This window comes from Homo sapiens, chromosome 16, assembly GCF_000001405.40.
Source record: "Homo sapiens chromosome 16, GRCh38.p14 Primary Assembly".
In the NCBI taxonomy this organism is placed as follows: Eukaryota; Metazoa; Chordata; class Mammalia; order Primates; family Hominidae; genus Homo; species Homo sapiens.
The window spans coordinates 47,605,146-47,618,266 of record NC_000016.10 but is presented as its reverse complement, the minus strand read 5'-3'; the positions used below and the strand labels follow the sequence as shown (position 1 = coordinate 47,618,266).

The 13,121-nt window shown below is 36.7% G+C and overlaps 1 protein-coding gene across 3 annotated transcripts in view; it reads right to left on the bottom strand.

The window, feature by feature from the left end:
- Window positions 1–13,121, bottom strand: part of PHKB (phosphorylase kinase regulatory subunit beta) — a 240,225-nt gene that overhangs the window by 83,257 nt on the left and 143,847 nt on the right. For all 3 annotated transcript variants that reach the window (NM_001363837.1, NM_001031835.3, NM_000293.3), the window contains one exon: window positions 7,347–7,441. In NM_001363837.1, the coding sequence (NP_001350766.1) occupies window positions 7,347–7,441 (95 nt within the window). The remainder of the gene's footprint in view (window positions 1–7,346; window positions 7,442–13,121) is intronic.

Genomic DNA, 13,121 nt, shown 5'->3' with positions numbered 1-13,121 from the left:
AAAAAGAAAGAAGGTCATGAGACAACAAGGTATTTAAATACATTTCTAGTGTAAAAGATGGCAAATAAAAATGCATTAACGAATAAAGCAGAGCAGAGAAAACTTGCATAAAACAAACGATACCACTTAGAGTATCACCAAAGTGCTGCAGCAGGTATGGGAGCTGACTCACCAACTAGAAGGGCCCCAGAGGGGCACTGGATTTGCAAGCACAATGGAGTAAAGGTGGGAGAAGCGGAAGTGAATAGAAGGACTGATTAAAGGCCACAGTGGCCAGCCCCATGTACCACACAGGGAATCACGGTCAGCAATAAAGCAGGGCTTTTCTCCAAATATATAGAACAAGCTGGCTGGGATGAGTTAAGGCTTCCACTGCAAACAACAGATTCTTAAAGCCTTTCATGTTCTGGCATTTGGCAAGGGTGATAAGAGTCTTCTTTGTTCCCAACCAGATCCCTGACTCATCAATAAGGTTAGCCAGGAGACAAAACTCCCATCACATTTCCGTCACCTCTGGATGGGATGGTGGGAGTAGCAGACTACTACTTAATACACTGAGAATAATCAGCCCACTTATCACACTAATATATGATTGAATGATGAGAAATACCAGGTATGTGACAAAATAACCAGTGGGAGGAAAGAAAAACACCATATTAATGAAACACACAAACATTAGTATGGAAATTATGCTTAATGAAATAAGCCACACGCAGAAAGACAAATATGGCATGATTCCACTTATATGAGGTAACTAGAATAGGCAAATTCATACACACAAAAAGTAGAATAGAGATTACCAGGGGCTGGAGGGAGGAAAGAAAGAGGGTCACTGCTTAATGGGTACAGAAGTTTTGTTGAGGATGATAAAAAAGGTTTTCATATACATAGAGGCAATAGCTACAATGATACATTGTAAATGTACTTATTGCCACTGACTTGTACACTTATGAATGACTGAAATGATATATATCGTTTTATATGTAAATATATAAAAAAATTTATATTATATATAAATATTATATATTTTATATACATTATATTATATAAATATATTTATATTACTTAGTATATACTTATATATAATGTATATTTATACATTATATATTCTTGGGAATAGGCCCCCAAATCTGGCCATAAACTGGCCCCAAAACTGGACATAAACAAAATCTCTGCAGGACTGTGACATGCTCATGATGGCCTTGACGCCCACACTGGAAGGTTGTTGGTTTACCAGAATGAGGGCAAGGAACACCTGGCCCACCCAGGGCAGAAAACTACTTAAGGTGTTCTTAAACCACAAACAATAGCACAAGTGATCTGTGCCTTAAGGACATGTTCATGCTGCAGATAACTAGCCAGACCCATCCCTTTATTTCAGCCCATCCCTTTAAATCTTATGACTGGCTTGCTGTCAATAAATATGTGGGTAAATCTCTGTTCAAGGCTCTCAGCTCTGAAGGCAGTGAGATCCCTGATTTCCCACTCCACACTCTATATTTCTGTGCGTGTGTCTTTAATTCCTCTAGCACCGCTGGGTTAGGTTCTACACAGCCGAGCTGGTCTGGGCAATATATAATATTTATATGTAAAATATTATATATTAATATATGATATTTATATGTAAAATATCATATATTAATATATGATATTTATATGTAAAATATTATATATTAATATATGATATTTATATGTAAAATATATATTAACATATGTTTTATATTTATATTTATATATTATAAATATATATTTATATTTACATATAAATATATAAAATATATATTAATTGATATATTATATATCATATATATTTTACTTTATTTAAAAAAAGAAAAAATTTACTGTGGAGAATCAACAAATGGTGACAACTGGATAACCACATACAAAGAATGAAGCTGGCTCTATGCCTCACACCGTATATAAAATTAACTCAGAATGGATCACAGGTCTAAGTATACGAGCTAAAACTATAAAATTCTTAGAAGAAAACACAGACACAAATCTTCATGACCTTGGATTAGGCAATACTTTCTTAGACATGACACCATAAGCACAAGCAACTAAAGGAAAAAAATAGATAAATGAGGCTTCTTCAAAATTAGAAACTTCCGTGCTTCAAATGACACCAAGAAGAAACTGGAATGATAATCCACAGAATGGGAGAAAATATTTGCAATCATATAAAGGTCTCAGAATACATAAAGAACTGTTACAATACAATAATAAAAAGAAACAATTAAAAAATGGCCGCAGTATCTGAATAGTTCCAAATGTTCTAAAATTGGTTCTGGTAAATATACTAAAAACCATTTCATTGCATGCTTTAAATTAGTGAATTGTATGGGATGCAAATTATACTTCAATAAAGCTGCTATTAAAAAATAAATGCTCAATAAATGATAGCCATTATTGTTTAAAAAATTACTCTGAAGAAAAAAGATGAGTAAAGGAACAGAATAAATCTTTTTTACTTGTAGAAAGACTTACGAACATACATTATCCACTATAAAAATTGGAAGTAGGAACAAGATGGCCTAGACAGATAACTATTAAAGGATTCTGAAAGCTGGAAAGAAAGCAGACTGGACTGGCCAGAGGCCTCAGCACTTGAAGAATGGCAATGCAGTGAGACTCTTGAGACTACACATATGCTAGGCTGGGCAGTGCAGGAGTCTGCAGCCTGAAATAACCAATAGGCATAGAAAAAAAGAAAAATCTGTTTTCTCTCACCAGAGGATAGGGAAATGCAAAGCACAACAGAGACCAAGTGGGGAGCTCTAATCTCAGCTCTTCAACTGAGGTACCAGTTGGCCAATCAATCTGTCTTTAGCAGCAACTTCAAAGTCCTGGTGAGCCAACCCAACCTCTGCTTCACAACCACAGCGCTGATGGGCCAACATATTTGCAGCATCAACAAAGAAGCCCCAGACGGCTTTCCTGACTCCACAGTGTTCTACTACTCAGGTACCCTTGGGCAGTCCAATTCACCTGCAGAGGGTTCAAAGCAATGACAGGTCTACTCGACCCCTGCTCCACAGCAGGGGCAACAGCAATTAGGTTGATCCTCCCATGTCACCTGAGCCTGGTAGCTTCTGGCCCTCTACCCAGTGGCATAAGGAGACTTAGGACAAGAAGAAATGGGGCATTATCTGTAGAGGAAACAAATTTGAACTGACAGGGAATTTCTCATTTGAAACTACGGAAGCCAGAGGAAGTGGCACAATATTTCTTAGTGCTGAAGTAAAACAATTGTTAACTAGGAATCCTATATCCAACGTAACTACCCTTCAGTAATGAAGGTGAAATAAAGATATTCTCAGACAAAGGAAAACTAAGAAATTTGTTGCTAGCAGACCTACCCATAAATAATGTCTAAAGGAAGGTCTCCAAACAGAAAGAAAATGATAACAGAAGAAGGCTGGGACATTCAGAAAGGAAAGAACATAAATGGTAAAAACTGAGGTCAGTACAATAGACTATCCATCATCCCATGAACTTCTTTAATCAAAGTTTATGGTTGAAGCAAAAATTTTCACACAATTTGATGTGCTGCTCAATGAAGACAGAGGAAATATTTTTAAAAATTATGTTTAAGAAATGAAGAAGGTAAGGGAAACTAATGGAAGAAGTAAGGTTTCTATAATTCACTTAAAGTGGCAAAATGATACCACTGCACTTTTGATAACTTATGTATGTATACAGTAATTCCTAGAACAACCAACTAATGAAAACTTAAAAAGTGATATATGAAAAAACATTATAAATGAACATTATGAATAATTAAAGTGGAATTCTAAGAAATGTTCGAATAACCTGTAGGATATTCTTCAATGTGTGAATGGTTAAACAAAGGTACCACCATACCATGGCGTACAACTCAGCAATAAAAAGAAACAAACTATGTGATATGGTTTGGATCTATGTCCCCACCCAAATTTCATGTCTAGTTGTAATCTCCAGTGTTGAAGGTAGGGACTGGTGGGATGTGATTGGATCATGGAGGTGGAGTTCTCATGAATGGTTTAGCACCATCCCCTTTTGGTACTGCACAGTGAGTTCTCATAAGATCTGGTTGTTTAAAAATGTGTAGGCCCTCCCCCTCACTCTCCTGCTCCTGCTTTGCCTTCCTCCATGAGGAAAACCTCCCTGAGGCCTCCCCAGAAGCCTGGAAGCTGCTATGCTTCCTGTACAGCCTGTGGAACCTCTTTTCTTTTACAATTAAACCTCTTTTCTTTACAAATTACCATGAGCCAATTAAACCTCTTTTCTTTACAAATTACCCAGTCTCAGGTATTTCTTTATAGCAGTTGAGAATGGACTAATACACTGTTGATACATGCAACAACTTGGATGAATCTCATGGAAATTATGTTGAGTGAAAAAAAGCCAATCCCAAAAGGTTAGGTACAGTTCAATTTTTATAACATTCCTAAAATGACAAAATTATAAAATAAAGAACGGATTAGTAGTTGCAACGGGTTAAGAACTGGGGTGAAGGAAGTGGGTATGATTATAAAGGAATAACACAAGGAAGCCTTATGGTGATATGGGATGGTACAATTAAGTATTTTGACCGTGACGGTGGTTACACAAAATTACACAAAATTTTAATAAAATGTAATTAATGTAAAATATAGCCAAAAATAAAGAAACAGAAAACATTTGAGAAAAAGTAAAAGACTCACAAGATGATAAGAGTGTTTTGCATGCCTGAGGCCTTGGGCCACAGTGTACCAGTTTGTCCAGAGAGTTGGCACTAACAATGTGGTTTATGGTGAACATCTGGTTTTTCCCTGTGGGGCTGGCTGGTGCTTAAACAATTGAGATGCTGCATGCCTACATAACCGACCTTTAGTAAAAACTATACACAATGAAGCTTGAGCAAGCTTCCCTGGTTGGCAACACTATGCATGTGTTGACATATCCTCACTACAGTAAGTAAGAGCATCTCATTTGACTCCACTGGAAGAAGACACTTGGAAGCCTGTGCTGAGGTTCCTCAGGACTTGCCCCATGCCTTTTCCTTTTGCTGATTTTATTCTGTATCCTTTCACAGTAATCAACCCTAAGTCTAAGTGTAACAGCTTCTGAGTTCTGTGAGTCCTCTAGTGAATTACAGTGGCTGAGGGCAGTCATGGGATCCCTGACATACCTTCTTTCGGGAACAAGCACTTCTACCATTTTCAGAAACTGCTTGGACTTTACTATTCCCTATTTACTTTCCTAATTTGTGGTAGGGTTTAAAGCACCTAGTGAATTCCCAAAGATCAGTTAGTTACAAAATCTGACCTGGTCAATCATGACTAAGTGGCTACTGACACCAACATTTCAAACAGAGGGCTGCACATCTGGGGATATGTCTGACCACTCTATTTCATCAGTCCACTTCACCCAGCCCCGGGAACAGACATGGGCATGCCAGGTCTTGCCTACTGCTTAAAATGGCTGAGAAAGTGGCAAGGCAGCTTCAGTATTTTATATACCACCACAACCAAGCTGCCAACCACATGGGGACATATCCACTCCCAGTAGTTTTTTGCTGCAAATCTCCCCATCACCTCCCTCTCGGAAACTGTATACAACACTGCACAGAGGTAATCTGCCACGTGGCTACAGGAGAGGAGCATTTCTCTTAGCTAGGATGTGGCTCCACTTGGGAGGCATGACACAGATAATTCAGTAGCAGCAGTACAAAGTAATTTTGAGATAAAACATACCTGTAGAGTGAATTCTCTTTAAAATTCACTCTCAGTCACTCATCTCCTGATAAGCTTTCTTGAGCAGGAGAGAAAGAGTTGCAAGTAGTATATTGTACACCAAAATTTACACATAACCCACAGCCATCATTATATGTGTCAAGCATGAAACAACTGTTTAAACTGATGATTTTGTTAGCCATATGCCTATGAAATGCTTTGATGTTCTCTGGCTCCTGTCTGCACACCTCAAATCTGTGACCTATTAATTTATTTTCTAAGAAAAGGCTTTGAGGTTTCATCACTCTAGAGAAGTGGGTCACACATGTGAAATACTATTTAAGTGATACACATTAGTCTTAAAATGGCTCAGTCATAGCACTGGTAATATGAAGTTGGATGAATTCTCTATTTTGCCATGTCTTCAAGTAAAATGGTGTATTTCAAATCAGTACAGACTGTACACTTGCACTGTACCTACAAACACTTGTTTTGTTGACACGACACATTCTGAATCCATAGCTACTAAATGCAAAAATTTAAAAACTATTCCTTCCCCAACACGTCGCCAAGTGCTGAGAACAACTCTGCCAATTGTACCAACATGAGCGGTAACTAAGATAAAGGCCAAATACCCCCTTACATAAAGAGCTAACAGGCCAGTGAGAAATTTTCATCACATATTAACACAGGAATTTTATGTTCTTGAGAAAACCATAGCATTTATTTACAAGTCTCTCAGATAGCTTCTCATCCATAAACAACTCAGAGTCATTACATGTTTTGTTGAAGACCAGCAAAAGAGTCAGAGAAACAGTGCAATAGAATCTAACGGGGCTGTTGGCTCTCCCTTTCTCTTATTAAAACAAGCACTTATTGCTCTGTGTGTGTGTGTGTGTGTTTGTGTGTATAATACACATTTTTTTTTAAATATAAGGAACATTTCCATTTGTAAGCCTATCTTCTGTAAGCGTTGATACCAATCTTATTAAATGCATGTTAACTGCTTAGAATCCCAGGCACACATGCAGGTTCATTCCCTTTCTCTTCAGGCAGTTTCCACAATCCACAACATTCTCATTTTAACAGTCCTCATTACTGGTATCATTTAATACTTGAGGGTTTGCTCAAGTCAGTATCAATCTTGCTGATCCTACAAACACTTATTTTGTTGACACAACACAGTCTGAATCCATAGCTACTAAATGTAAAAATTTTAAAACTATTCCTTGCCCAACACGTCACCAAGTCACTGTTGCTGTAACAACTGTCAGTCACGCAGCCCTGTCAAGAGCCACAGCACAGGAGAGACATCAAGCACAGGCCTTTTGGGGAATCCCACTCCCTTCAGTCATTGGTCCTCCTGCCACCCAGATGCACTGCTTCTTCTCAAAGACACTTGACACCTTAAACTCAACATTCTGAAGATGGAAATGTTTACCTGCAAGGCACTTTGTTGGACCCATCTGAAATCTACTTCCTCATTAACAAATAGCCCTTCACCACAAGTAAATCTTAACTAACCAGAAGAGGGAGAAACCTTTCCGTCAGAAGGAACAACAAAAACCTATTCAGAACAAAAATTTCCTCTTCAATTAAGCTTAAATGTCTCTGGACGAGTCTAAATCAAGAAATAGAATAATTCTTTACCTGATTGGAAAACCTCATGCTCACGTTACGTTGATCCTTTAGTGGGACATAGCGCTGGACAGGATCAATGTCTTTAGGACTAATAAGTTCATCAGCTGAAAAAAAGAAGGGGAATGACATTATCGAAAATGCATTTGCATAACACTATAAACCAACTAGACTTTTAGAAAATACTCCAACAAGAGAAGAATATACATTTTTCTCAGTGTACATGAAACATCCTCCACCAGGATATACCACATACTAGGCCATAAAATAAGCCTCAATATATAGAAAAGGACTGAATCATAAAAAGTATATTGTCTGACCACAAGGGAATGGAATTAGGCATCAATAACAGAAAGAAATCTTATAAATTCACACATATGTGGAAATGAAAACATACTACTAAATAACTAATGGGTCAAATAATAAATCAAAAGGGAAATGAGAAAATATATTCTAATATACTTTCTGATGAGATGAATGAAAATAAAGACAAACACCAAAATCAATGGGATGTGGGTAAAACAATGCTCAGAGAAAAAATTATAGCTATAAATTCCTATATTAAACAGAAGAAAAATCTCAAATCAATAACCTATTTTTCCACCTTAAGACAGTGGATGAGATGGCTGGGCACAGTGGGTCACGCCTGTAATCCCAGCACTTTGGGAGGCTGAGGTGGGCGGATCACAAGGTCAGGAGTTTGAGACCAGCCTGGCCAACATGGTGAAACTCCATCTCTACTAAAAATACAAAAAAAAAAAAAAAAAAAAAAATTAGCTGGGCATGGTTGTGTGTGCCTGTAATCCCAGCTACTCAGGAGGCTGAGGCAGGAGAATTGCTTGAACCTGGGAGGTGGAAGGTGCAGTGAGCCAAGATTGTGCCACTGTACTCCAGCCTGGGCAACAGAGAGAGACTCCATCTCAAAACAAAACAAACAAACAAAAAAAGACAGTGGATGAAAAAGAGCAAACTAAATCAAAAGCAACAGAAGGAAGGAAATAATAAAGATTAGAGTGGAAATTAATGAAACAGTATAGAAAAACAATACAGAATCAAGAAAATCAAAAGTAGTTTCTTAAAAAGCTCAATAAAACTTGCAAACCTTTAGCTAGATTGACCAAGAAAAGAAGAAAGAAGACTCAAATTACTAAATCAAGAATTCAAGAAAGAAACATTACTACAGAACTAAAGGATTATAAGAGAATAATATCAACAAATACATGCCATCAAATTAGATAACCTAGATGAAATGGATGAATTATTCCCGGAAAGACACAAACTACCAAAACTGACTCAAGAAGGAATAGAAAATCTAAACAGCTTGGTAAAAAGTACATAAAGTGATTGAAACTTTACACACACACACACACACACACACAAACACACACACACATCCACACATAGTTCAGGACTAGATGGCGTCACTGGTGAATTCTACCAAGCAGTTAAAGAAAAATTAAAACCAACCTTTCACAAACTGTGCCCCCCCCCCACCCACAAAAAAGAGGGAACACCTCCCAACTCATTCTAAGAGGTCAGTATTATTCTAATACCAAAATCAAAGTATCACAAGAAAATTACAAAGCAAAATCTGTATGAATATAGACACAAAAATCCTCAACAAAATACTAGCAAACCCAATCCAGTAACATAAAGAAGGGATTACACATCATAACCAAGTAGAATCTATCCCACAAATGCAAGGATGGCTTAACATCACAAAGTTAATTACTAATAGACCATATCAACAAAATAAAGGGGAAAACACTATGTGATCACTTCAACAGACTGAGAAAAAGCATTTGACAAAATTCAACATCCTTGAATAAAAAGCATTCAACAAAGTAGGAACAGAAGAAAATGTATTCAACCTAATAAAGGGAATCTATGAAAAAGCTACAGCTAATATCACACTCACACTCAATGGTAAAAGACTGAATGCTTTCCCCCAAGGATCAGGAATAAGACAAGGATATCCACTCTCACCACTTCTATTCAACATTGAACTGGAGGTTCCAGCCAGGGAAATTGGGAAAGAAAAAGTAATAAAAAGTATCAGATTGGAAAGGACAAAGGCTATGGTAATTAATAGTGTGGCATTAGCATAAGGATAGAGACAGAAATAGAATACAGAGTCCAAAAATAAACCCTTGCATGTATAGTCAACTGATTTTTGACAGGGTGCCAAAACAATTCAGTAGGGAGAGAAAGGATTTTTCTTTGTTTTGTTTTGAGACAGAGTCTTGCTCTGTTGCTCAGGTGGAGTGCAGTGGCACAATCGCAACTTTCACCTCCCAAGTTCAAGCAATTCTGGTGCCTCAGTCTCCTGAGTAGCTGGGATTACAGGCATTTACCACCATGCCTGGTTAATTTTTGTGTTTTTTGTAGAGACAAGGTTTTGCCATGTTGGCCAGGCTGGTCTCAAACTCTTGGCCTCAAACCTCAGCCTCCAAAAGTGTTGGGATTACAGGCGTGAGCCACCATGCCCAGCCAAAAAAAGTTTTTTTATTGACAAATAGTGCTGAGACAATTGGATATTCAAATGCAAAAGAATGAAGCTGGACCTTTTCCTCACACCATATATAAAATCAACTCAAAATAGATCAAAGAGTTAAATGTAAGAGTTAAAACTATAAAACTGTTAGAAGACAATATAGAAGTAAGTCTTTGTGACTGATTTAGACAAAACTATGGCATCATAACAAAAGTGATAAAAGAAGTAAAGAGATAAATTGGATTTCATCAAAATTATAACTTTCTGGTGCCTCAAAAGATCCATCAAGAAAGTGAAATAACAGCCCAAAGAATGGTGAGAAAACATTCACAAATCAGATATCTTGTAAGGGATTTACACCTAGAAGATATAAAGAATTCATAACAACATAATAATAAAAAGAAAAAAAAAACCCATTAAAAAATAGCCACAGTGTCTATATAGGCTTTTCTCCAAAGGAGATATACAAATTACCAATAAGCACATGAAAAAATGCACAACATTAGTCATTTGGGAAATGCTAATCAAAACCACAATGAGGTATCACTTCATATCCATTAGGAAGGCTACAATTAAAAAAAGAAAATAGGTAAGAACAAGTGTTGGCAAAGATGTGGAGAAACAGAAACCCTCAAATAGTGTTGATGGGAAAGCAAAATGATACAGCAGCTTTGGAAAACAGTCTGGAAGTTGCTCAAAATGTTAAACGTAAGACTTAGCATAGACCCAGCAATTACATGCCTAGGTATACACCCAAGAGAAATGAAAAATATGTTAAACAATAATTTTATATAAAGTTTATAGCAGCATTATTCATAATAGCTAAGAAGTGCAAACAACCCAAATGTTCATCTCCTGATGAATGGGTAAATAAAATGTAATGTATATATACAATGGAATATTGTTCTGCCATAAAAAAGGAATGAATCGCTGAAACATGCTACAACATGGATAAACCTTGAAAATATTATGTTAAGTGAAAGAAGCCAGACACAAAGGTCCATTATCAGTTTCGAGTTACATGAAAGGTCCCAAATAGGCAAATCTATAGAATTAGAGAGTAGGCTAGCCATTGCCTAGTGCTGGGGGAAGAGGGTGAAGTGATGAGAAGGAAATGAGGAGTGACTACTACTGGGCATGAGGTTTTTTGGCAGGGAGATGATGAAAACATTGTAAAACTGATGGCAGTGATGGTTGCACAACTCTATAAATATACCAAAAATCACTGAATTGTAAACTTTAAATAGGTAAAATATATGGTATGTAAATCACATCTCAATAAAGCTATTTTAAAAATAATAGGAAAGAAGTCAGATTTCTTTCAGAAAAATCAGAAAAATAATAGGAAGGAAATCAGTTTGTTAAGAAATAATGTTTCCTGATACAAAATTCTAAAAGAGATTTCTGAGAAGGGGCGTTTTTTTATGGGGCACTGACCAACATGAAGGCAACATCCTCAATTGCTGTTGCACTATAAAAATGGAAGCCCTTTTAACATGGTAGTTCCTTATGGCAACTTTTGATAAAATCCTAGGGTATAACGAGGATGGAAATTTAGAGTGAGAGGCAGTGGGGAGGAAGGCACTAAGTCTGTGGTTCTCTGCTGTCTTCTGCTGTAACACACTTGAAGGATAACCATCAGCACCAGAGGCTCACTCACTACAGCAGGATTTCTCCATGGGCCTGGAAGAGAACATGCAGGGGAGGGGTGGTAGTGGTAGGAAAAGCCCCTGAAATGCAATTCTGCAAAACCTCCTTGGAGTGCAAGTTGTCAGTTATCTACACAAATTTACAGTGAGCGTATTTTCCAACCCAGCAAGTCCGCATCTGTAAAGTTATCTTAGTTATGCTCACACATGTGCAAATTAATTGAACAAAAACAAAAACAAAAATCCAACTTCTAAAGTGAGTCGGCACACTTCTTCATTTTTACTGCATGTAAGCTATAAAACATGTTTATTTCATTCTTGATCTTTGGCTCTACACTGATCACTTAAAAACAATACTATGCTGAGTTTTGTATAAATGTACCCATGTATAATATTTACTAAAAAGATTACAGTTCATTTTCCATAGCTATTTATAAATTGCTTTTAGGTAGTGAATATGACAGAGCAAGGAACCAATGGTTATAAATTTATTTGCAGTTTTAGGAATATTTCTATACTAGATTTCTATCCTGGGGTATCTTCCAGGCACATCTGCATTGTTATTTGAGACAAAATCACCAAAGGATTTTAGTAACTCTTGGAAGATCTTTTCAATAATAATTAAAGTAGTATTAACAGTAGAATAACAAGAAGGAGGAAGAGTAGAAGCAGAGTCTGCCAGAGCCACCGCTGCCTCTGCAGCAGCAGCAATACCTACACAGTTATTAAGCTCCAGGCATTGTTTTAAGTATTTCACATATATTCATTCATTAATCCTCACAACAACCTTATCACTTTATAGATGATGAACCAGAGGCACCTGAGTGTTTAGGCAACTTCCTGGTGGTTGGTATAGAGCAAAGCTGAGACACAGTCAGTCGACTCCCAGAGTCTGGGCTCTTAATCACATACTAATCCTGCCCTTTAAGAACACTGACATTCTACATAACATAGGTGAAAATAATAGCAGAAGGAGGATGAAATAAAAAAAACTATTTAGACATGTTACATTTTTCCTATCGAAATCAGGTTGCATATTACAAATGTTCTCCTTTCTCTCTGAAAAAAAAAATACACTTTTTCAAAATTTAAACCAAACCAATGAAAGCAGATATCGACATATAACTTTAATGTACTAATTTCAGTTTAGCTCATGATACAGGGTTGATTAGTACACTGATATTCTAGATAGGCAGTAAATTATTTCCGTATCTCAATTGTATGATCACTGAGATGTGAAAAAATTTCTAAAACGAACAAGTTTTCACTGTCATGCTATAGAAACTAAATTCTATCTTTATTACAGTATTTTGTTATTTATAAATAGTGACAGATAAATTAAGAAACCTTATATCCTTGTAAAGCATAAATGCTAATCTATTAAAATTGGTAAGAATTGAATGGTTAACCAAGTCTTCCAAAAGCTTATTTCTTTGCATTTCCTTCGTGTTTCTCTTTGTGCCACACTTCATCTAGCTTGATGTTCCCACTTACACCACGTGCTCATGTATAAACTCATAGACTGTATGCTTCTTATACATGATGCCCAGTACCTAGCAGAGCCACCAGCACCTAGTAGGCACTCAATACACTTACTAAGCAGAATAATAAATTAGTCGGTTAGCAAATACAGAAACACTAATT